This window comes from Homo sapiens, chromosome 17 (assembly GCF_000001405.40).
Source record: "Homo sapiens chromosome 17, GRCh38.p14 Primary Assembly".
In the NCBI taxonomy this organism is placed as follows: domain Eukaryota; kingdom Metazoa; phylum Chordata; class Mammalia; order Primates; family Hominidae; genus Homo; species Homo sapiens.
Window position 1 is genome coordinate 78459705 of NC_000017.11, and position 24996 is coordinate 78484700.

The following is a 24996-nucleotide window of genomic DNA, read 5'->3' on the forward strand; positions in this document are numbered from 1 at the left end:
TGCTTCACCTCAGCATCGTGCCTTGGCCTGATGGAGAATCGGAGGGAAGCCCCGGCTACGAGGCCCAGCCCCGACTCACTTGAAGGCCTTCAGGCAGGCCTCAGGGATGTGCTCCTTGTCGAACTTCTTCAGGGAGTCTAGGAAGGTGTCCACCTTGCCCATCATGATCTTGGCCGCCTTCCAGCTCTTGTCCTTGGGGATCTTGCCCCCAGGTGCGGTCAGAATCATGACGGCGGCGGTGACGTTGACCACAGCATCCGGCGGGGACCCAAAGGACTTCAGCTCTGTCAGGTTGTTCTGCAAATGACAGACGGGATGGGTCCGATGGGAGTTTGGACCGGGTCCTCGGTGATGCCCCGAAGAAGCCGCCATGAGTGTGTCACCACCCACGCCAACAGCGAAGGCAGCTTCCTCTCCAACCAGGCCAGGGGTCCCCTTTCTTTCCCTCCCCCTTTACCTTATTCAGAGTGTCCAGAGCCTCCTGGGCTGCCAGCAGGGCCGGTTCTGCTTTGGCCAGGTCTGTTTCACAGGCCTTTTGCTTCTCAGTGACGTTCTGGAAGGAAGATGGACAGGAGAGGTTACTGCAGGCCTGTCCATGTGCCTGTGGGGGCGTGTACGTGCATGTGTGTGCATGTGTGTGCATGTGTGTGCATGTATGCACGTGCATGAGTGTATGTGTGCATATATGTGCATGAGTGTATGTGTGTGCATGTATGTGTATGTGCATCCATGTGCATATGTGCATGTGTAGGCAGCAGTGGTGAGGGGCGGCCCAGGCCCCAGCAGGTCTGAGCTCCATAAGAGAGGCTGCCCCTCCGGCCACCACTCATTTGCTGTATTTGCTGAATGTGCTCCTTTGCCGACATCCCTGTGTGTGTGCTTGGCCCCTGTCTGGAGCCCACCTTCCTCCCTGACGCCTCTACTCTGCCCCACAACGCTCAGGTCAGAATGAGCAATGCCTCGACAGTTGGGTGGGATTCTGGAATGGGAACTGTTCCTTCTATCGGCTTGAGCTTCCAAGACTGGAGGGGAAATCCGGGGGCCACTGAGACCGCCTTGACTTTGCAGTCTTATTGTTTCTGGGGCTGTTTCATAATCCATCCAAAATGGAACGTCTCAGAGTGTATAGCTCACACCCCTCTAAGAAAGTAGCACCTCCTTCATTCATGTACATACTCATTCATTCACTCAGGAGACAGTGGGCCATGACTGGAACGCTCTTCAATAATTACACAGATGTAGGACTGATGACAAAAAAAGCACCCAGGGAGGGGTCATGAGAAGCTGCTCCAATGATGCTGTAACCTTCAGGCTCCAAAGATGATGAAGACGCTCCCGCTAAGCCGTGGTTCTCAACCTCAGCCACCCCCAACCAGCAAGGAGCCCACCCCCAGGCCAGTAACGTCCTACCCTCTCGGGGGGGGCCCGGAGCCGCACGTCTGAGGACCAGGCTCCAGTGAGGTCTTCTCAACCCCTCCCATGCTCACGGATCGCGGGCATTTCGTTACCATGCAGGCCCCATTGAGCAGAGCTGAGCTGGAGCCCGAGAGCCTGCATTTCTCACAAGCTTCTGGTGAGGCTGCCGCTGTAGGCTGGGGGCTGAACATGGAGGAGCTCGGCCACGGGATGGGAGTTTTCTAAGGAAAGCCTGCTTCTGAGCGGGGGCCCTCCCCTGGGAGAGACTCCTTCGGGGGTCCCACTGGTTTAGGAACCTTGTCCTTCTATGTAAGTCTCAGCCTTTCCCACGCCTGTCGGTGGCACCTGACCACACGTGGAAGCCCAGGAGGCCTGGCCAGTGCAGCAGCCTTCCTGAAGGCACGCTGGGCTGCCTTCACCTACCTTATTGATGACCTCGACCTTGACTTCTTCCTGGTCAGCAATGGCCTTCTCTTTGCTGACCTTCTCGGCCTCGATGCCGACCACCTGGATCAGTTGGTCTGCGCTCTCATTCTTCTGCTTGAGCTCAGCCTCCTGAATCGCCAACTTGGCTTTCAAATCATCCACCTGGGGAAGGAGAAACCGAGAAACAGCAAGTGTGGGCCGCAGCCGACACACGCCGCCCTGCACTGGGCAGACGAGGGCTGGGAGCCACAGAGGGGCAGAACGGCAGGGCCGTGTCTTACGACTCCCAGTGACTCGTTTTGGAGAGTCTTTTCAATATCTTAAAAGTAAGTTATAAACCCTGACTGCGTACACAGGGTCACAAGTATGAGACATTCCTGGTGCTCAAAGGAGTTGGCAAGGTGACTGAATAGAAACATATCAACTGCAGCCTGGGCAACCGAGTGAGACCCTGTCTGTATAAATAATAAAAAAAATTAGCAAGGCATGGTGGCCTGTGCCCATGGTCCCAGCTACCTGGGAGGCTGAGGTGGGAGGATCACTTGAGCCCAGGAAGTCCAGGCTGCAGTGAGCCACGATCGCACCACTGCATCCCAGCTTGGATGACAGAGCGAGACTCTGTCTCAAATGCCAAGTGAGTTGCAGTGCCGAGCAGGGCTGGCCAGGGCCCCTCCAGGCTGGTGGGAGAGTGACAGCGAGAGTTTGGTAGGGGGGTGGGGGGGTGGGGGCAGGGGTGCGAAAGCTCCCCTGGAAGCAAGTGGGAGGTCCCAGTCTGTTCACAACTCCAGCAGGGAGGTGGCAGCTATTTTCAGGCCCCCTCACAGGGTGTCAATGGTGGGCAATAAAGATGAAGGAGCCGGGACTGCACGATGGAGGAGGTCTGAAGCAGGCAGAACCCTTCAAGATCCATACGGTGTGGAGGAAAGGATCCAGGGAGGTTTTTGAGCCAGGCCCCATGGTATGAATGGTATTTACGAATGAACAAATGCATTTGTATTGACTGCATTGGGCATGATGATCAAATCTCACCCGACATGGGGCAGGTGCCATCCCCTGTGTAATGCGCCCTCCATACAATCAACATTGTGAAAGCATTTTGAGTCTGTTTTTTGTTACGACAAGTATACTAACTCTGGCCTAGGAGTAAATGCTTCTCAAAGGCAGGAAGCGTGCTCATCTTACTTTAGGCAGTGCTGAGCCCCAGTGTGACCAGCCCGTGGATGCCTGTGACAGTAGCAGCTCCTGCGAGGCCTCCAGGGAACGGCACAGGAGCTGGCAGCCAGCCCCCCTCTCCTACCTGGGAAGCCGTGCTCTGCAGCTTCATCAGGCCGTTCTCCAGCCTCTCGATTTTGGCAACAAGTTCCGTTCTCTTCTTGGCCAGCAGGTTCTGGTACAGTTTGATCTGCTCCAGAAAGGTTTTGGGTGTGGTGTAGTTGTAGCGCCTCTCAGTAGCCAGGTATACCCTGGACATCTCGTTGACGGTGGTGTGCACGTAGGACATGAAGAAGCTGATGGAGGCCTTGACTTCCCACTACAAAGATGAGACAGCCAGTCATCCCTGGGACCCCATCCTGCAAATCAGCAAAGTGGGGCTCCCCAGACTCACCAGGGGCCCTGGACAAGGTGCCCTGAGACCGCTCTCAACCTCAGTGTCTTCAACTGCCCAAAGGGGCTCCTGAGAGCAACAGATCCTGGGGCCCTTGTGAGCACTGCACCATGGAAGGGTTTAGCTCAGCGCACAGGACACAGCAGAGCTTATTATCATTATCTCTGACACACAGACGCATACATGCACACACATGCATACACACACACGTATATGTGCACATTCACATACCTGCATATATACGCGTGCACACGCATTCACATACCTGCATATATACACGTGCATACGCATTCACATACCTGTATATATACACGTGCATACGCATTCACATACCTGTATATATACACGTGCATATGCATTCACATACCTGCATATGTACACGTGCACATGCATTCACATACCTGCACATATACACATGCACACACATTCACATACCTGCCTATATGCACGTGCATGTGCATTCACATACCTGCATACCTGAAAAAGTACAAGGCTGAGAATGTGTTTTCATATCCCAGGTAATTCTGCAAATATTTATTGTTCATTACCAAGGCTGGGTCCTGGGATTTAGAACTTCTTTCCCCAGCCCTCTGGGCCTGCCCACCTACCTGAACGCAGGCACTGGGAGCTTTGCCCCAGAAATTGTCTCAGCAATGTTAATTTTAATTCAGGACATTTTGAAAAGTAATGAATTCATCCAACACAGACATTTCAGGGTATATATATATAGTGCTGGTGGTGGGGCCAATGCCTGTTTCTAGGAAGTCTCTGCCTTGGGAACTAGAAACCCAAATCTATGCTCCAAGGGACACCTTTGAACTGCAGAGTTCCTGGGAGTGGCCAGTCTCATAAATGAATGCTCTAATGGCAAGTAGGCTCTTTTTCCCATCTTTAAAAACTAGGAAAAAGAGAAGCTAGTTTCAGGTTTATTCTGTCCTACTTAATAACTGGATATGTGTTCAAAAGAAACAAGAGATGGTAATAAAGGGAGGTTTATTCCAAGGGCTGCTCATCCCCCCTACTGAGTTGGTCAAAAGTGAGCCAGGGTTTATGGGTAATTTCCAGGCAAGCATTGAGCTCAAACAGTGAACATGGGCGCCATCTTTCACTGTTTTTTGTTTTTTTGAGATGGAGTCTTGCTCTATTGCCCAGGCTAGAGTGCAGTGGCACAATCTTGGCTTACTGAAACTTCCGCCTCCCGGGTTCAAGTGATTCTCCTGCCTTAGCCTCTGGAGTAGCTAGGATTACAGGCATGCACCACCACACCCGGCTAATTTTTTATATTTTTGGTAGAGATGGGGTTTCACCATGTTGGCCAGGCTGATCTCGAACTCCTGACCTCAAGTGATCTGCCCGCTTTGGCCCCCCAAAGTGCTGGGATTATAGGCGTGAGCCACTGCCCCCAGCCCTCGGCACCATCTTTCAATGAAAAGAGACTGCAAGAGAATGTCGGACCCGTCTTTCCTCTGAGGTGCACAAGGCAATGGTGTGTGCCCTTGTGTATACTTATTCCAGCAAATACAGGCTTTCCAGCCAAGTGCTCGAGGCAAGGCAGAAAGCCTGAGTCGCCCGATCTGTCCGCACGCTGCATGTCCTCAGCCTTCCTGAACTGGCCCTGGAGCCTTGGCTGCGCCGGGGCTGATTGGAAACCACCCCTCCCTGGCACAGGATTGCAGGACAATGAAACAAAAAAACCCAACAGCCCACCTTGGTTTACAATTCTGATGATTTGTTCATCATGAATTTTTTAGCGCTAATTTGATTTTCAAAAATATTACATTAAAACCTCACTTATCGCTCTCCCTCTCCCTCTCCCCACGGTCTCCCTCTCATGCTGAGCCGAGGCTGGACTGTGCTGCTGCCATCTCGGCTCGCTGCAGCCTCCCTGCCTGATTCTCCTGACTCAGCCTGCCCAGTGCCTGCGATTGCAGGCTCGCGCCGCCACGCCTGACTGGTTTTGGTGGAGACGGGGTTTCGCTGTGTTGCCCAGGCCAGTCTCCAGCCCCTAACCGCAAGTGATCCGCCAGCCTCGGCCTCCCGAGGTGCCGGGATTGCAGACGGAGTCTCATTCACTCAGTGCTCAATGGTGCCCAGGCTGGAGTGCAGTGGCGTGATCTCGGCTCGCTACAACCTCCACCTCCCAGCTGCCTGCCTTGGCCTCCCAAGGTGCCGAGATTGCAGCCTCTGCCCGGCCGCCACCCCGTCTGGGAAGTGAGGAGCGTCTCTGCCTGGCCGCCCATCATCTGGGATGTGAGGAGCCCCTCTGCCTGGCTGCCCAGTCTGGAAAGTGAGGAGCGTCTCCGCCCGGCTGCCATCCCACCTAGGAAGTGAGGAACACCTCTTCCCGGCCGCCATCACATCTAGGAAGTGAGGAGCGTCTCTGCCCGGCCGCCCATCGTCTGAGATGTGGGGAGCGCCTCTGCCCCGCCGCCCCATCTGGGATGTGAGGAGCGCCTCTGCCCGGCCGAGACCCCGTCTGGGAGGTGAGGAGCGTCTCTGCCTGGCCGCCCCGTCTGAGAAGTGAGGAGACCCTCTGCCCGGCAACCGCCCCGTCTGAGAAGTGAGGAGCCTCTCCGCCCGGCAGCCACCCCGTCCGGGAGGGAGGTGGGGGCGGTCAGCCCCCGCCAGGCCAGCCGCCCCGTCCAGGAGGGAGGTGGGGGGTCAGCCCCCCGCCCGGCCAGCCGCCCCGTCCGGGAGGTGAGGGGCGCCTCTGCCCAGCCGCCCCTACTGGGAAGTGAGGAGCCCCTCTGCCCGGCCACCACCCCGTCTGGGAGGTGTGCCCAGCAGCTCATTGAGAGCGGGCCAGGATGACAGTGGCGGCTTTGTGGAATGGAGAGGCGGGAGGGGTGGGGAAGGGATTGAGAAATCGGATGGTTGCCGTGTCTGTGTAGAAAGAAGTAGACATGGGAGACTTTTCATTTTGTTCTGTACTAAGAAAACTTCTTCTGCCTTGGGATCCTGTTGATCTGTGACCTTACCCCCAGCCCTGTGCTCTCTGAAACATGTGCTGTGTCCACTCAGGGTTGAATGGATTAAGGGCGGTGCAAGATGTGCTTTGTTAAACAGATGCTTGAAGGCAGCATGCTCGTTAAGAGTCATCACCACTCCCTAATCTCAAGTACCCAGGGACACAAACACTGCCGAAGGCCGGAAGGCCTCAGGGTCCTCTGCCTAGGAAAACCAGAGACCTTTGTTCACTTGTTTATCTGCTGACCTTCCCTCCACTATTGTCCTATGACCCTGCCAAGTCCCCCTCTGTGAGAAACACCCAAGAATTATCAATAAAAAATAAATAAATTAAAAAAAAATAAAAAATAAAAAATAAAACCTCACTTATCTTGATGCCTGAGTTTCTGGCAGCCTCTTAAACGTTGAGCCCAAGGCGGACGCCTCACTTGGCTCACCCTAATCCCAGCGCCCTTTTCTCCCAGGGAGCCAGCCCTTGGGCCTGTCCTTGTCCTCTGGGCTCTACACTCAGGCAGAGGTGGCCTCAGTGACTCACCGGAATCCCCTCAGTCTCCTCCAGGAAGCGGGCGCTGACGGACACCAGCGCATCTTCCGGCCACTCGTGGAACCAGTCGATGGCCGTGCAGTTGACCACAGCTGGGAACTTTCTGGCTCGTACCCGCAGCACGGAGCCCACAGGGGAGAAACACAGGATCACCTGGGTGTGGGAGACACAGATGCGCTGCCTACTGGGACTGCAGTGCTGGGGCCTAATCCATCACTCTGCAGAAAGCTCTGCCAGAAAGCAACGCGCCCTGCCGGGCTCAGCCGCCCAGGGCCTGGGCAGCACAGTCCTGGTTCTGGGTTTGAAGGGCGGCCGCTGCATTGCCGTGGATAAATGCTCATCTGGCTTCATGCCTCTCGCTAGCAGTCCCAATCCCTCTGGAAGGGGCCCTTGCCTCTCTAAAAAAGGCCGGGCAAAGGAAGGAATGGGGAGTGGGCATCCACATTGGGCAGATGAGGCCCCAGAACGGGCCGGGCTCCCAAGCCCTTCGGTTCAGCAGGAAGGGTCCCCGCTGGGCCCTGAGGGATAGTGGCTAATTCCCAGAAAGGGCAGGGAGTCCCTGGGATCCCAGCTGGAGAAGGTGCTGTGGAGACAGGCCTGGGGGGCTCTCTGGCTAGATAAGGACCTCCCTTGTAATGGGTCTCAGCCTCCCAGCTGCTCTTGCTCTCTAGTCCCCTTTCGTGGCATAGGTGTTGCACGGACGCTGCCATTGAATGGGGTGGCTCACTGCTTAGCTGACTTTGCACCCCTCACTGCGTGATGACGTGAGGGTGCAGGACAGAGCCGGCACTGGCAGGGCACCAAAGAGGATCCAGGAGCAGGCAGCACCTATCAGGGGATGCCTTTGGCTCACAGATAACATTCACTAATTGGGCTATGCAGCCCGCAGAGGGGAGGGAGGACCCTGCTCTGTTTGAGTCAAGCAGGGGAAAACGATGGCCGGCAGGTGTCCAGGAGAGCTATGGGATTGGCACCCCGCAAAGGGCAGCACCACTGAACTCTGGAGAGGACGGGGCCAATAGGTCCAAGGGGTTCTCTGTCCTACTAGGGGAGTTTAGCCTGCTTACCCTAGAGGTGATGTCGAAAATCAAGGTGTGGCCAGGCAGCACTTTGGGAGGCCGAGGCAGGTGTATCACCTGAGGTCAGGAGTTCAAGACCAGCCTGGCCACCATGGTGAAATGCTGTCTCTACTAAAAATAAAAAATTTAGCCAGGTGTGGTGGTGGGCACCTGTAATCCCAGCTACTCAGGAAGCTGAGGCTGGAGAATCATTTTAACCCAGGAGGCAGAGGTTGCAGTGAGCTAAGATCACGCCATTGCACTCCAGCCTGGGCGACAAGTGAAACTCCATCTCAAAAAAAAAAAAAAAAAGAGAGAGAGAGAGAGTATCAAGGTGCATTTATCTACTTAAACTAGCTGTGTGTGGGGAGGGGGTCCACATAGAGTCGGTTGTCTGTCCACATCTGTGGATTTAACCAACCATGGACTGAAAATTGTTAAAAAAAAATAATAAAAAATAATACAAATAAAAATATAGTATAACAACTATTTACATAGCATTCTACATTATATTAGGTATTATAAGTAATCTAGAGATGATTTAAAGTAGAGGGGAGCATCTTCAAAAATACGACACTGTTTTATATCGGGCCCTTGAGCATCCATCCCTCCGTGGATTCTGGTATCCATGGCGGTCCTGGAATCCAACCTCCTCAGATACCAAAGGACGACTGTAAAACATTTCTTTTGGCCCCAAGATACCTCTAACGACCCACGTGAAAAAGTCTCCAGGCTCCGGTTCATCAGACAGCCCCACCCCTCACACTCTCCTAACAGGATTTCACATCCCATGAAGGATCAGTCCTCCTGCTCTATGCAGAGCAAAAACCCATACCCTGTAGGCCACGGGCACCAAGCTGGGCTCTTGAGGCCCTGCCGAAGACGGGAGCCCCACCTTGAGCTGTCTGCGCACTTTTTCGATGAAGAACTTCCAACATGTTTCCCGAGTGTCATTCATGCCAAGGGACTTGACTTGGGGTCGCATGGAGGAGATGATGTTCTCCACCTCGTCCTCCATAAACAGCCCAGGGATCTCTCCTGAGGCCAGCAGGTCATTGATCAGCACCAGAAACTGCTCCTCGGCCACCTGGGAGTCTGTCATCAGGAACACCGAGGGAACGTTCTTCACGGCAGCCTTTATGTACTGAGCAGCGAGGTCAATCTGGACGGAGTGAGGACACGCTTAGGGGCCTTGGTAAAAAGATGCTCAATTAGAGACATCCTCCACAACCAACCAGAGCACAGGGCCATTTTTTCTTTGAGACGGAGTCTCGCTCTGTCGCCCAGGCTGGAGTGCAATGGCACAATCTCGGCTCACTGCAACCTCCGTCTCCTGGGTTCAAGCAATTCTCTTGCCTCAGCCTCCCAAGTAACTGGGATTACAGGCACACGCCGCCATGGGGCCAACTTTCTTTTTTCTGTCTTTTTCTTTTTTTTTGAGACTGAGTCTCGCTCTGTCACCCAGGCTGGAGTGCAGTGATGCAATCTCGGCTCACTGCAAGCTCCACCTCCCAGGTTCACGCCATTCTCCTGCCTCAGCCTCCCGAGTAGCTGGGACTACAGGCACCCGCCACCACGCCTGGCTAATTTTTTGTATTTTAAGTAGAGACAGGGTTTCACTATGTTAGCCAGGAGGGCCTCGATCTCTTGACCTTGTGATCCACCCGCCTCGGCCTCCCAAAGTGCTGGGATTACAGGTGTGAGCCACTGTGCCCGGCCCACAGGGACAACTTTCTAAGAAACACAGGCCAGGTGCGGTGGCTCATGCTTATAATTCTAGGGCTTTGGGAGGCCAAGGTGGGAGGATCAATTGAGGCCAGGAGCTCAAGACCAGCCTGAGCAACATAGCAAGACCTTGTCTCTAAGGAAAAGAATAAAAGAAGGGTGCAGGAGACCCAAAACCTTGAACAGAGCACAGCCAGGTTCACAGCAGCCATCAGGACAACCCAAGTGTCCATCCATGCATGAACAGGTACATAAAACGTGGTCCATCTGTGCAATGGAATATGATTTGGTCTTAAAAAGGGGAGGAAATTCTGACACGTGCTATAGCACGGACAGACCTTCAGGACATGACGCTGAGTAAAATAAGCCAGACACGAAAGGACAAATACCGTGTGATTCCACTTACATGAGGTCCCTAAAGTAGTCAAAGTCAGGGACAGAAAGAAGAATGGAGGTTGCCAGGGGCGGGGCTGGGGGAATGGGGAGTTGTTTAATGGAGACAGAGCTTCTGTTTGGGAAGATGAAAGGGTCCTGGAGAGGGACAGTGGTGATGGTCACACAACAGTGTGAATGTGCTTCATGCCACCGAACTAGATGTTAAAAGTGGTGAAAATGTCTTACTCTTTTTTTTTTTTTTTTTTTTTTGAGACAGTCTCTCACTCTGTTGCCCAGGCTGGAGTGCAGTGTCGCGATCTTGGCTCACTTCAACCTCCGCCTCCCGGGTTCAAGGAGTTCTCCTGCCTCAGCCTCCTGAGAGATTACAGGCATGTGCCACCATGCTCAGCTAATTTTTGTATTTTTGGTAGAGACAGGGTTTTACCATGTTGGCCAGGCTGGTCTTGAACTCCGGACCTCAAGTGATCTGCCCACCTCGGCCTCCCAAAGTGCTGGGATAACAGGCATGAGCCACCGTGCCCAGCCGAAAATGTCTATTTGTCTTAGAAAAAAAAATTAAAAAACAGGCCGGGCACGGTGGCTCACACCTGTAATCCCAGCACTTTGGGAGGCCGAGGAGGGTGGATCACCTGAGGTTAGGAGTTGGAGACCACCTGGCCAACATGGTGAAACCCCATCTCTACAAAAAATACAACAATTAGCCAGGCGTGGTGGCACGCACCTGTAATCCCAGGTACTTGGGAAGCTGAGGCAGGAGAATTGCTTGAACCCAGGAGGTGGAGGTTGCAGTGAGCCGATATTGTGCCATTGCACTCCAGTCTGGGCAACAGAGTGAGACTCCGTCTCAAAGAAAAGAAATAAGTAACAGTGAAAATGGTCAATTTTATACTATGTATATTTTACCACATATGCAAAAGGAAAGAAAAAAATCTTAAATGGAGACCCTAAAAGAGGCCCTGAATAAATATACTGCAGGCTTGGACTGGGAGCCTTAACAGGCAACCCCCTTTCAGAGTCATCCACAGCAGGATTTAAGGACAGGGCGAGAAGATGGTTTCATAGGAATTTTGCAAGAATAAATGAAAAGTTTTTTTTAAAGCATTTTACAGAGCAGTAGGAATAGCTCGTTATTTTTGAATATGCCATTTCCATGTATATATATGTTCAGAAATGCCTGCCAGTTTCATCCAAGTAGTGATGTGTATTTCCAGCGTTTTGGCGATTTGCTTATCTATAATATTTAATTTAAAAAACAAGACCTATGGGCTTCTGTACTTATTGAAGAGGCTTTAAAAGTGTCCATATAGGCACCCCAGTGGCTGCTCCATCCTTCGGAAGCAAGTCCGACTCCCTGAAATCTCTCTGTTCAGAGAAACCTCACCAGGCCTCCTCTTTGGGAGCTGACTGGGGTCAGAAGCCAGCCTCAAATCTCCTATCTCTTGACAAGCTAAGAAAAAGCAAGGGGAAGCTCTGAGCCTGGAAAAGCAGGTGGGCAGCAGGTGGGCCGCAGGTGGGACTTGAGCCAAGGCTATGTCCTTGGACCCTGCCTCGAGGTAAGGAGCGTAGTGTGAGAGCCAGCAATGACCTTGAGTCAAAGACGAATCACTCTTCTCATTTCACAGTGTAGCAAGGACATTGGGTGGAGACTGACCATACCAGAAATCTTTTCCTTTTTTGTTCCTTTTTCTGACTTTACTTTTTTAGAGATAGGGCCTCACTCTGTCGCCCAGGCTGGAGAGCAGTGGCATGATCATAGCTTATTGCAGCCTCGACCTCCTGGGCTCAAGGGATCCTCCTTGCCTTGGCCTCTCAAAGTGCTAGGATTACAGGCTTGAGCCACCGCTCCCGGCCCGTCTGGCTTTCACAGCCACACTGTCCCATATGGAGTGGCCCTTACCCTGCCCACTGTGACCGCTGGGCTGTCCCCACCTCACCTTCCCCGCTCACTCTCTGGCACAGTCCCCTCCACTCCCGTCCTCTTATGCTGCTGAGGCTGGCCCCCACATCTCTACCCGCATCCTATCCCTGCACTTCCCAGCCCCATGTGTCCCGCTGTGCGATGGCCGCCTCATCCCCAGGTATCTCATCTCCTCCGGGCCTGGCCCCAGGGCAGTTCTCCCCCACCCTCCCTCCTATCTTGGTTGAGAGCCCCATGGTGCTACTGAAGCTGGATCTGCCTGCGTCCCTATCATCACTGTCAGCCAAGGACGGCAATCGTCACCTGTATCTAGGCCCGTCTAGGGACCAGCCATTAATAAGGGGCACAGGCTTCCCTTTCTTTGGCCAAAACATCAGCAGCAGTGCCTTTCCTTGCCATAGCCAATGCCACTGGCAGTAGACAGGCAGGACACGGAGCCGAGATTTGGGAGTGGGGGTGTGTGAGACATTAGGGTTATGGAGTAGGGGTGCGAGGGTTAGGGTTAGGGAGTAGGGGTGCGAGGGTTAGGGTTAGGGAGTGGGGGTGCGAGGGTTAGGGTTAGGGAATGGGGGTGCGAGGATTAGGGTTAGGATTTGGGAGTGGCGGGTGCGAGACACGCAGCAAGGCCTCCTCCCTGAGAATAACATGAGGCCAAGCCCCCACCCCACCCGATGGCTGCTTCTCACCCCTTCCCTCTCATTTGCAGGAAGCTGGCGGGGAGGCGGGGACCTGAGCCGCTGAGACCACGGCCCCTCATTCTGCTGACAGGCTTTCTTCATGGGGCAGCCCAGCTCTGGCTGCTGACTCAGGCTGGGGTGAAGGTTTCACAGAAATAAAAACTCCCCACCGCCTGGCCCCGGGGGCTGTGTGTGGGGTGTGGGGAGGGGAGCTGGGGTAGCACCTGAAGGTTTCGGATCCTGGACCCCAGCCGAGTCCCCGAGGTCACGCACGCTGTCTCGGCAGGCACAGCCCTCGCTGGCCCTGGTTTCCCCTCCCCCTCCGTTCTCCCTTCTCGTCGCACCTGCCCACTTTCAGCCTTTGTGGGGTCACAGAGCTTGTGCCCCAGCTCCACCCAGGTCACCCTTCAGCAGTTTCTGTGCTTTCAAACTATCCTTCCTGTGTCCTAGAACACTACCACATCCTGCCCGCTCTATCCCCTGATCAGACATCTTGATGTAGTCTCGTTTTCTTGGGACCAAGCCCAGGGCTTTTCACACGGCACACTGTCCTCCAGGGTCCACCCTCCACCCCTTTCCTGTGCACCCCTAGCCTCCAGCAGGTGCCACAGCTTCCGGGACCTACTTTATAATATTACATAATCACAAACATATATGTTACCCCCATAGGGGTGAGCCTATTACTATGGCAGCACCATTAGAACGATAATCATGTCGAATGGCTCAGGAGTCTAGCTCCCCCAATACAATTCAGGAACTTATAGCCCTGTTTACCTCTGCCCTTAGTTCTGAATCCACAGAAGCGGCTTAAGAAATGACAGTGATGGCCGGGCGCAGTGGCTCACGCCTGTAATCCCAGCACTCTGGGAGGCTGAGGCGGGCAGATCACGAGGTCAGGAGATTGAGACCATCCAGGCTAACACGGTGAAACCCCGTCTCTACTAAAAATACAAAAAATTAGACGGGCGTGGTGGCGGGCGCGTGTAGTCCCAGCTACTCAGGAGGCTGAGGCAGGAGAATGGTGTGAACCCGGGAAGCGGAGCTTGCAGTGAGCTGAGATCGCGCCACTGCACTCCAGCCTGGGCGACAGAGTGAGACTCTGTCTCAAAAAAAAAAAAAAAAAAAAAAGAAATGACAGTGATAGCAAAGCTGATTTGTGATGGGTGCAGGGACAGTGAAATTCCACAGCCCAGATCACAGAGCCACAGCAGCTGATGAATAAAATAGTACCGCTGAGGCTGAGGCTGAGGCTGAGCACCCACAATCAGCCCCAACAGGAAGGATCAGGGAGAAAATCCCCGCAGGGACGCAGAGCAAGGAAACGATGCCGTCATGAACGTAAACCAACGTGATTTAGTTAATAGACTAGAGACTTCAATGGAGAAAGCTCAGTAAAACCATACGGCTCCAGGTTCAAATGACACTTGAGTGGCCGCAGATACCAATGTGAACTAACTCCATCAGATGCGCTGAGAACCCATGACACACTACCGCTCATGGGTCCAGAGGACAGGGCTGTGTTCAGGAGTGCCCATCTGAGGAGTTCAAAAAAGAGCAGGCCGGCCCCTTTATACATGGAGTAGAATCTGCTGGGAAGGCAGAGAACAGCCAGCCAGAAACTGGAGGCTCTCCCAGAGGTTGGCCGTCCCTGGCACAGCCTGCACTGCCCCTCCAGGGTCTCTGCCTGCAGACACCTCCCACTGCTCCCAGCATCACTGGCTCCAGGTCTGCCTGCTAAAGCCACCAGCCCAGCGACTGTCTGAGGGCCACGTACTGCGGGAGGGTCCCCTTAGGTTCCCCCTTGGGTCTGGCATCGTCCTGGCCCCACAACAGCGGCCCCAGCACACAGAGAAGGCATGGCCGTGTAGGACGGCCCAATCGATTTCAGGTCTAATCTCAAGCACGATGATTCCTTCTGAACTAATGGCACGCAGTTGCCTGGGAGAGCAGATTTTCAGGAACAAGAAATCAATAAAAACCCTCAGCAGTGTGTGTTGGGCATGGGAGACCTTATGTTTAGTCTAATGTTTATTTCATTCATTCCAAAAGCAGCCATTCAGCATCTCAGGCATGCAGTTAGACACCCAGTCATGGCTCTGAATTCTGTAGTCTGGAGAGAATAGGTAACAATTTGGAACACTCAGTGACCAAGGGCAGGGATCCAACCTCTCTGCCTCTGTGATCTGGGTTGATTCTGTGGACTTGTGTCCATCGAGTAGTTGACAGACACACTCTTCACCTCAGTCACACGGACACGCACACTGGCTGGAAGGTTTCACACCCTTCACCTCAGTCACACTGGCCAGATTTCACACCCTTTACCTCAGTCACGCGGGCTGGAGGGTTTCACACTCTTCACCTCAGTCACCCGGGCACACACACTGGCCGGAAGGTTTCACTCTCTTCACCTCAGTCATGCGGGCCGGAAGATTTCACACCCTTCACCTCAGTCACATGGGCCGGGAGGTTTCACACGCTTCACCTCAGTCACACGGGCCGAAAGGTTTCAGACCCTTCACCTCAGTCACATGGGCTGGAAGGTTTCACACGCTTCACCTCAGTCACATGGACATGCACACTGGCTGGAAGGTTTCAGACCCTTCACCTCAGTCACACGGGCTGGAAGGTTTCACACTCTTCACCTCAGTCACACGGGCACGCACGCTGGCTGGAAGGTTTTCTGGCCTCTGCTTTCTAAGATAAAGACCCTTTGGATAAGGACTATTGGTGATGCTCGGATTCCCTGTACTCGCTGGCTTCATTTTGGAAAAGGGAGTGAAGTTTTTCTTTACTCCCTGACCCTACCCTGAAAGGCAGCCTATTGAACAGTAAGCTCTCACCTTGAGGTCGGGGATCCCGTAGCCCTTCTTGAGGGTGATCTGAAACACGTCAAGCCCGCTGATGTACGCTGCCAGGCGGGAGAGGCTCTGTTTGCCACTGCCGCCCACCCCCACCAGCAGGGCATTCCCCCGGGGAGACTCCAGGATGCGATTAATCCTGCAGATGTGAGCCACGGCGTCCTCAAACAGCACCTGCAGAAACCGGAGAGATCCCACAACATCTTGTAGCACCTGGAATCACCTCTGTCACCAGCACGGACTCTGCACATGCTGAGGTGTGCACTGTGTGCCACGCAGCCCCACACAATGCCACTCGGATGTCGATAATGCAACCGGAGAGGGTGACCCGGTCCAGGTCCCGTGCCCTTGCTATCAGCTCCAGCCTGCTCACCAAATTCATGACTGCATTAACTTCATTGTAGCTGTCCAGGACGTCCACGAGGAGCTTGTTCAGAGGAGCCATGTCGGTTACAGGAACATATTTGGGATCGCCAATCCCTTGAGCAAAGTGGCAGAAGATATTTGGCTTGGCAAATAAGAGTTCATCACCAAGATCCTAGAAAAAGAAAAAAAAAGACGATACTTCCGGTTTTTGCCACCATGACCACACAGATAGTTAACAGCAATTCAGTACTTTGCCAAGGTGGCCTAGGAGGTCACCACGGGGTCCCAGGCCAAGTCTCCAGGGGCCCAAACCTGCTGCCGTGGGCCCAGCAAACCACTGGGGCAAAATTTCCTAGAGTGGGAGGGTCTGATCCCCACTGTATCAGAAATGAATTCATAGTCCAAAGAAATGATTCCACCAAGAACACACGGGACACACCAGCGAGGCACACAGAGCCAAGCAGGGCCTTTCTCCACCCCAAGTGGACAGAGGGAGGTGATCACACCCTGATCTACTGAGCACTCAATTCCTCCTCACTCAGACCCACAGCCACGTGCCGGAGTTATCGCGTGGAACCCTCGGACCCACAGCCACGTGCCAGAGTTATCGCGTGGAACCCTCGGACCCACAGCCAAGTGCCGGAATTATCACGTGGAACCCTCGGACCCACAGCCACGTGCCGGAGTTATCGCGTGGAACCCTCGGACCCACAGCCACGTGCCGGAGTTATCGCGTGGAACCCTCGGATCCACAGCCACTTGCTGGAATGATCGCGTGGAACCTAACACGGATCTTCCCACCCCCAACAAAGGGCCCTTCTGAGAGGGCTGCAGTTCTCATTGGCCGCCGACACTCCACCCTCCTGGAGCCATTCTGGGCTCGGCAGAGGGACTGGGCAGCTTGACTTACATCAAAGAACTTCTTGGTGGAGGCCATGGTGACTCTATGCAATGTTTCCTGGTCTTTTTCGTCAACCATTTTGTCACCATACACTCGTTCAGTCTCATGTAGCCAAAGGCGGACGAGGTCCAGTGGGGTTTTCAGAACTTCTGCTGTGGAAAATAAGAGTCCCTGCCCCAAACACAGGATGATCAGCACCGTCAGCTGTTACGAAGGCGAGCCCAGAGCTGGACACAGATGACCCTGAGGAGCAGCCCCCTCCCCCGGGGCGAGGGGACCTGTTCAGCTGTTGGCACAGCATTCACTTGGGGCCAGGGAAGCCACTCATCACGGAGGTCCCAAAAATCCCGGATGCCAGTGTGTGTGTGTGTCCTGAGAGATGTGGAGTTTTCCTCATAGGACAGGGTTGGGGCCTCATCCTCCAGAAGAGTGAATGGTGGAGGAGGGACAAGGGAGGCTAATTGCAAAGGAAAGCAGGTGACCGATGCCATAGGGCAGGTCACAAGCTTGGGTACCACAGCAAGCCTATCTGGTCCAGTCCTGGCTTGGCCATTTACTAAGCAAGTGACTCTAGGCAAGCTCGACAAGAGCTTATTGAGGGCCTGGAATTTCCCAGGCACAGCGATGATGCAACAGAACCTGACGCTGTGGAGTTGACATGCTAGCGGGGGAGGTGGCCAGGTACACAAAGAAATAAGGTAATTGCACACTATGGTGTATGCTCTGAATGACAAACCCAGGGCAGTAAGACAGAGTGTGAGGGCTGAGGAGTGGCCTCTGTGAGAGCATGGCATTTGGGCTGATACTTTATTTTTTTTTTTATTGATACTTTTTGATATGTAGTCTCACTCTGTTGCCCAGGCTGGAGTGCAGTGGCACGATCTCAGCTTACTGCAACCTCTGCCTCCTGGGTTCAAGTGATTCTCACATCAGCCTCCCGAGTAGCTGGGACTACAGAGGCACACTCCACCATGCCCAGCTAATTTTTGTATTTTTAGTAGACACAGGGTTTCACCATGTTGGCCAGGCTGGTCTCGAACTCCTGACCTCGTGATCTGCCCGCCTTGGCCTCCCAAAGTGCTGGGATTACAGGCATGAACCACTGCACCCGGCTGGGCTGATACTTTACGTGGGAGGAGGTGGGCATAACTTAGCCTCCCTCAGCCACAAACTCCTGCTCAGTAAAATGGGGATATAAGCACCAAACTTATGTGTTGTTGGAGAAGGAGAAAATGGGAATGTAAGGGGCCAAACCCAATCTCTGACTCAGAGTAAGCAGTCAGTAAATGAGAGGAAATATTATTACCATCACCACCACCATCGCTATCATCACCACCATCATCATTACCACATCACCATCACCACCATCATCACCACCATCACCATTATCATCTCCACCATCACCACCACCATCATCATCACCACCATCACCACCACCATCATCACCATCATCACCATCACCACCACCATCACACCACCATCATTACCATTATCATCTCCACCATCACCACCACCATCATCACCATCACCACCACCATCATCATCATCTCCACCATCACCACCACGTGGCATCATCACATCACCATCATCACCATTACCACCATAACATCACCATCATCACCATTATCACCATCATATCACCACCACCACCATCATCACCACATCACCATCACCACCATCATCACCACCATCACCATTATCATCTCCACCACCATCACCATTATCATCTCCACCACCATCACCACAATCACATCACCACCACCACCATTATCACCATCACATCACCCACATCACCATCACCACCACCATCACTGCCACCACTATTATCATCAGCACCACCATCACTACCACTATCACCATCATCACCACCATCATTACCAACATTACCATCACCATCACTATTGCCATCATCACCACCATCACTATCACCATCATTATCACCACCATCACCCTCACCACCACCATCACTATCATCACCACCATCATGACAATCACCATCATCATGACCATCACCATTACCACCATCACTACCACTGTCACCACCACCGTCATCACCCCCATTATTATAATCATTATCACCATTACCATCACCACCATCACTACCATCACTACCACCATCATCACAATTATTACCATCATTACCATCACCACCACTATTGCCATCATCACCACCATCATCACCATCACCACCATCACTATCATCATCACATCACCATCACTATCATCATAACCATCACTACCACCATCATCACATCACCATCATCACGACCATCACCATTACCACCATCACTACCACTGTCACCACCACCATTACCATCACCACCATTATTATCATCATTATCATTACCACCATCACCACCATCATCAGTCCACACCTCCCTGAGAGCTGTGATGAGGAAAGCACCTGTGGATCAGGCACTGGACCGTAAGGCAGGCATGACATAAAGCTACAAGAGCAGTACCTGGAAAATATTGGAGAGGTCCCTGAGGTTGAAGACATAATGAAACTTAATGGCCGTGGGAAGAAATGTTGCCGTGATTTTCTGATGCAAAGCTGTTAGAGGAAAAGGACGTGTCAATTCTCATGTACTCTTGATGGCCCCAGGAAGTGCAAGCCTCAAGTTTCTAAAGCCAATGGACTACGAAATGGTGACAACTGGAGTAAGAAATCTGCACAGCTCTTTGAAGTGGGAGGGAATTTGCTGTTCTCCTTAAATCATTTGTGTATAGAATTTCCTAGCCCCTACCTCCCCATGAAGCAATTGTATTTCACAATTTCTCCTGTCGAAACATAGCATCGTTTTTAAGATATTGATTTAGAATTATAAATAAAATATTTATCAAGGGAAAATGTGAAGAACCATCAGCCCACAGAGCCATAGGTTTTACCGATGGGAGAGGGGATGAGGCCAGCCAGCTTACCCAGGGCCGCGGCCACCAGCTGGCTGCTTATCCTCTGGATAGCCATGGAGACCGAGCGGAAGGCCAGGTGCTGCGTCAGGATTGTGTTGTAGATGGTGGTGAGGGCCTCCTGGCCGGGGAAGCTCACAGCAAACACGCAGAAATGGCGCTACCCCAAAACAACCAAACACTCCAGTCAGCCAGCTCTTGGGGACCTGCCTGGGGCCAGGGCCACCTTCGCGGGAGAGTGGCCCCTGTCCTCATGTTCTAAGGTCTTTTGGGCATTGTCAGAATGGGCAGTTACCCTCCTTGTGCCTTGCATGTGGTAAAACTGCATTAAGTATCATTACACATGAAACAGACAAATTTACTTCATGCTCTCAAGAAGAATTTTGGCAAAGGCAAGAGATGGGCTCAGAGTACAGGCCTGGGTTTAAATCCAGATCTCTGTGTGTTTAGATAACTTAGAGGCAAAGTCTGTCTGGGTAAGGGCTACAGATAAAATACAGGATGCCCTGCTAAATCTGAATTTCAGATAAACAACAAGTACTTTTTTTTTTTTTTTTTTTTTTTTTTTTTTTTTTTTAAAAAAAGTATGTCCCAGGCCGGGCACGGTGACTCCCACCTGTAATCCCAGCACTTTGGGAGGCCGAGGAGGGCAGATCACTTGAGGTCAGAAGTTCGAGACCAGCCTGGCCAATATGGTGAAACCCCGTCCCTACTAAAAATACAAAAATTAGCCAGGTGTGGTGGCGCACACCTGTAGCCTCAGCTGCTTGGGAGGCTGAGGCAGGAGAATTGCTTAAACCCGGGAAGCGGAGGTTGCAGTGAGCTCAGATCACACCATTGCACTCCAGCCTGGGTGACAGAGTGAGACTCAGCCTCAAAACAAAAACAAAACAACAAAAAAAGAACGGTATGTCCCAAATATTGTATGTAACATACTTAGACTAAAAACATATTTATTTATCTGGAGTTTGGATTTAACTGCAATTTTATTTGCTAACTCTGCCAGTTGACCGGGTCACAGGGAAGGCTGGCTAGCTGCTCATCCTCTCCATGCCCTGGAATTTTCTGACACATTCTGCAAAGTTAAGGAGTTCTCCAGAAAATGTCGGCCTGCAGCCCTAACACCCTAAACCAAAGCTTTTCCTCTCATTTGCCAGAAGCAAGCCTCAGACTCATGGCAGGTGACGGGGATGAGTATGGTTTCTGCTTACCTGAAGCCTGGAGTCGATGGTGAAGGATCCGGAAGTGGGGTTCATGCAGGCCACGTACTGACAATTATGGATATCTTTTAACGTCAGCTTATGTCTGTCATACCTGAGGGGGGAAACCAGCATTCATGTTGTGCCCCTGGCCTGGAGGAACCATCCCCTGCCCCCACTGTGCTCCCAAGAATGCCCTCCTTATTATTATTTTTTTGAGACAGAGTCTCGCTCTGTTGCCCAGGCTGGAGTGCAGTGGCACAATCTCGGCTCACTGCAAGCTTTGCCTAATTTTTTGCATTTTTAGTTGAGACGGGGTTTCGCCGTGTTAGCCAGGATGGTCTCGATCTCCTAACCTCGTGATGCGCCCGCCTCAGCCTCCCAAAGTGCTGAGATTACAAGTGTGAGCCACCACGCCCGCCCCCCATCCCCCGGCTTTTTTTTTTTTTGAGATGGAGTCTCACTCAGTCACTCAGGCCGGAGTGCAGTGGCATGATCTTGGCTCACTGCAACCTCCGCCTCCTGGGTTCGCCCCATTCTCCTGCCTCAGCCTCCCGAGTAGCTGAGACTACAGGTGCCCGCCACCATGCCTGGCTAATTTTTTTGTACTTTTAGTAGAGACTGGGTTTCACCGTGTTAGCCAGGATGGTCTTGATCTCCTGACCTTGTGATCCGCCCGCCTCAGCCTCCCAAATGCTGGGATTACTCCATGTGGTCTTAAAAACCCTCCACAGATACTGATAATATGTGAAGCAGCTGCTGTGACTTCATGCTCTCCAGAGAAATTTTGAAACAAGAGGCAAAAGAGTGGCTCAGAGAGCAGGCTGGGGTTTATGTTCCAGCTCTTCCCCTAAGCAGTGCTGGGGCTCTGGGAAGTTGGTTAACATCTCTGTGCCTTAATATTCTCACCTGTGCAATGGGTCATGAGGAGGATAAAATGAGCTAACATATGAAAAAACACTGGGAAGAGTACCTGACATACAGTAAGTATGCAATAAATATTCACCATCCCTGTTATCAGGATAATTATTAATGGCTGCTATTATTAAATAAGCTGAATAGGCCAGGCACAGTGGCTCATGCCTGTAATCCTAGCACTTTGGGAGGCTGAGATGGGCAGATCACTTGAGGTCAGGAGATCAAGATCAGCCTGGCTAGCATAGTGAAACCCCATCTCTACTAAAAATACAAAAATTAGCCAGGCATGGTGGCAGGCACCTGTAATCCCAGCTACTTGGGAGGCTGAGGCAGGAGAATTGCTTGAACCTGGGAGGTGGAGGCTGCAGTGAGCCAAGATCATGCTATTGCACTCCAGCCTGGGCAACAGAGCAAGATTTCATTTCAAAAATAAAATAAAATAAGCTGAATAATTTCCTTGATGTCACACTACACTAGTTACTTTTTTTTTTTTTTTTTTTTCCCCCGAGACAGGGTCTTGCTCTCTCACCCCGGCTGGAGTGCAGTGGTGAACACAGCTCACGGCAGCCTCTATCTCCTGGGCTCAAGCTGTCCTCCCAACCTCAGCCTCACACTACCATGCCCGGCTAAGTTTTTGTAGAGACAGGGTCTCACTATATGACCTGGGTTCAAGTGATCCTCCTGCCTCCACCTCCTAAAGTGTTGAGATTACAGGCCTGAGCCACTGCGCCCAGCACTTTTGTTTTTTTCCCCCATTATGCACTTTGTGTGTTGGAAGTTGACGTCTGTTAGTTTCTAGTAATTCCTTGTATATTTCAGATATTAATCCACTGTCAATTTTATACATTGCAAATGTTTTCTTCCATTCTTTTATTTCTCCATTATATATGTCCATGGTGTCTCTCACTGAGCAAAATTCCTTAACTTTCATTTAAATCACAGCCATCAATTTTTTGCCCTTCTGTGTGTGCCTCTGAAACTTTTGCCTGCGCAGTCCTCTCCTGTGCACACTTCTCAGGTCACAGATGTTGTCCCTGTTTGCTTCTGCCCACCTCACAGCTCACCCTTTCCCTGCGGGCCCATCCTTCCCACGGGCCCCACCCTTGTCTGCCTTTTTCTTCCACAGGTGAGCATTTTCCTGACACATCCACTAAACAGTCCATCCTTCCCTGTTGTCGTGGGGCCATGTTAATCTGATATTCTAGAAGGATCTTTTGAAAACTCAAATCTCACTCTGCCACCCCTCCTGAAGATCCTTCAGGGTAAACTCCAGGGCAGATGTGGACCTAGGGCTGAAGCTTAAGAATGTGGAGGCTCCTCCTTGAGGAAAAGAAAGCAAAAATCTTAAACAAATTTTACAAGGGCACATGACCGTGTGCAACCCTTGGAAGGGGCCTCGCGAGTTGCAGGGAAACCGAGGCTGAGCCGCCACAGCCCTCACAGTAGACCTGCCTGCAGAGAGGAACGGGTGGGCTCTCATGCATGCACCTGTCCTCCTCTCCTGTCTGGGTACCCTCAAATCTCCCACCCCACACCACGTTAGGTTCTCCTCAAATGATGTCAAACTCTCTCCAGGCTCCCTCCTCAGAGTGGCAGCTTTGTCACCTCCCCCAGGGAGCCACCTCTGATGCCTCCGTCCCCACATCACAGCCTGCAGCCCAGAGTAGGCTTCCTATAGTCGTGAGCTCTGGGAGTGTCGTTTAGTGAGGAAAAGGCAAGTGATGGAGTCAGACATATCTGAACTCAAAATCCAGTTCTGGCTGAGCGTGGTGGCTCACGCCTGTAGTCCCAGCACTTTGGGAGCCCGAGGCGGGCAGATCACCTGAGGTCAGGAGTTAGAGACCTGCCTGGCCAATATAGTTAAGCCCCGTTTCTACTAAAAATACAAAAATTAGGTGGGCATGGTGGCAGGCACCTATAATTTCAGCTACTTGGGAGACTGAGGCAGGAGAATCGCTGGAACCCAGGAGGCAGAGGTTGCAGTGAGCCAAGATCACGCCATTGGACTCCAGCCTGGGCAGCAAGAGCGAAACTCTGTCTTGGAAATAATAATAATAATAATAATAATAACCCAGCTCCGCCACTCATTAGGACCATGACCTCAAGTAGACTACCTAACCCCCCATGCCTGCCTTTCTCGGCATGAGGCCAGGCTTCATGAACGAGCAGACTAGTTTCTAGGCTCTTTTGGCCTGAGCTACTTGCTTATTTTAAGAGACAACTATGGCTGGGCACGGTGGCTCACACCTCTAATCCCAGCACTTTGTGAGGCCAAGGCGGGCGGATCACCTGAGGTCAGGAGTTCGAGAACAGCCTGGCCAACATGGCGAAACCCCTTCTCTACTAAAAGTACAAAAATTAGCCGGCGTGGTGGTGGGCACCTGTATTACCAGCTACTCAGGAGGCTGAGGAAGGAGAATTCCTTGAACCCAGGAGGCGGAGGTTGCAGTAAGCCAAGATCGAGCCATTGCACTCCAGCCTGAGAGACAGAGCGAGATTTCTCCTCAAAAAAAAAAAAAAAAAAAAAAAAAAAAAAGACAACTGAACTGAATGTTCTCATCTTTCCAAACTGCAAACCTAAACGTGCCACCTTTGGTTTCTCGGTGCCGTTAGGAGAAAATCTGCACTCTGTCCCGAGGCCCTGGGATTCTGGCTGCAGCTGCCCTGGGCACCCTCTGCCTCTGGCTCTCACATCCTTGCCACACCGGCCTTCCTGGGCTTCTTCACGTGTGGCAGGGCATTTACACGTGGCAATCTCTCCACCCAGAATGCTCTCCCTCTAAGGTCCCACAGCCAGCAGGACACTGCTGCCAGCTTCCAGCTGTGCACCATCTCCCCAGGGGCATCTCTCTGCTGGGGCTCCCAGCTGGGAGGCTCCTCTGTGACTGCACTGGGGGTTTTCCTCAGGGCTCTTCCTTTACCGGGTAATGTGCTTCTTCCTCTCCCGGCGGGACAGACACCTCGGTGGAAGGGGGGAAGGAGGATCCCCCCCTCCGCGGGGGCTCTAGGCCACTGCTGCATGTTTGTGAAATGGGTGATGGACGAAACTGATAGAACCTCTCCCCTACCCTGGCCCTACCTCAATGCCTTGTGGCCCCACAAACTTGGGGG

At 52.4% G+C, this 24996-nt stretch overlaps 1 protein-coding gene across 5 annotated transcripts in view, besides 7 other annotated features; it reads right to left on the minus strand.

Annotated features, from left to right (window-relative positions):
* The window catches only part of DNAH17 (dynein axonemal heavy chain 17), a 153700-nt gene that overhangs the window by 36008 nt on the left and 92696 nt on the right, over positions 1–24996 (minus strand). For all 5 annotated transcript variants that reach the window (XM_024451013.2, NM_173628.4, XM_011525416.3 and 2 more), the window contains 12 exons: positions 20980–21082; positions 19781–19928; positions 19321–19412; positions 16868–17029; positions 15965–16129; positions 15574–15765; positions 8913–9179; positions 6951–7112; positions 3140–3373; positions 1840–2004; positions 458–553; positions 80–297 (listed from right to left, as the gene is read on the minus strand). In XM_024451013.2, the coding sequence (XP_024306781.1) occupies positions 80–297; positions 458–553; positions 1840–2004; positions 3140–3373; positions 6951–7112; positions 8913–9179; positions 15574–15765; positions 15965–16129; positions 16868–17029; positions 19321–19412; positions 19781–19928; positions 20980–21082 (2004 nt within the window). The remainder of the gene's footprint in view (positions 1–79; positions 298–457; positions 554–1839; positions 2005–3139; positions 3374–6950; positions 7113–8912; positions 9180–15573; positions 15766–15964; positions 16130–16867; positions 17030–19320; positions 19413–19780; positions 19929–20979; positions 21083–24996) is intronic.
* Positions 6170–6832: an enhancer, noted in NCBI's record as "NANOG-H3K27ac-H3K4me1 hESC enhancer chr17:76461956-76462618 (GRCh37/hg19 assembly coordinates)". NCBI's record gives its function as "activates a minimal SCP1, AML or CMV promoter by ChIP-STARR-seq in naive H9 embryonic stem cells {active_cell/tissue: H9 hESC(naive)}" and the evidence as "EXISTENCE:reporter gene assay evidence [ECO:0000049][PMID:30033119]".
* Positions 7496–8157: an enhancer, noted in NCBI's record as "H3K27ac-H3K4me1 hESC enhancer chr17:76463282-76463943 (GRCh37/hg19 assembly coordinates)". NCBI's record gives its function as "activates a minimal SCP1, AML or CMV promoter by ChIP-STARR-seq in primed H9 embryonic stem cells {active_cell/tissue: H9 hESC(primed)}" and the evidence as "EXISTENCE:reporter gene assay evidence [ECO:0000049][PMID:30033119]".
* Positions 13007–13096: an enhancer, noted in NCBI's record as "active region_12896". NCBI's record gives its function as "activates an Ori minimal core promoter by ATAC-STARR-seq in GM12878 lymphoblastoid cells {active_cell/tissue: GM12878}" and the evidence as "EXISTENCE:reporter gene assay evidence [ECO:0000049][PMID:35858748]".
* Positions 15239–15288: an enhancer, noted in NCBI's record as "active region_12897". NCBI's record gives its function as "activates an Ori minimal core promoter by ATAC-STARR-seq in GM12878 lymphoblastoid cells {active_cell/tissue: GM12878}" and the evidence as "EXISTENCE:reporter gene assay evidence [ECO:0000049][PMID:35858748]".
* Positions 15839–15898: an enhancer, noted in NCBI's record as "active region_12898". NCBI's record gives its function as "activates an Ori minimal core promoter by ATAC-STARR-seq in GM12878 lymphoblastoid cells {active_cell/tissue: GM12878}" and the evidence as "EXISTENCE:reporter gene assay evidence [ECO:0000049][PMID:35858748]".
* Positions 24719–24858: an enhancer, noted in NCBI's record as "active region_12899". NCBI's record gives its function as "activates an Ori minimal core promoter by ATAC-STARR-seq in GM12878 lymphoblastoid cells {active_cell/tissue: GM12878}" and the evidence as "EXISTENCE:reporter gene assay evidence [ECO:0000049][PMID:35858748]".
* Positions 24889–24938: an enhancer, noted in NCBI's record as "active region_12900". NCBI's record gives its function as "activates an Ori minimal core promoter by ATAC-STARR-seq in GM12878 lymphoblastoid cells {active_cell/tissue: GM12878}" and the evidence as "EXISTENCE:reporter gene assay evidence [ECO:0000049][PMID:35858748]".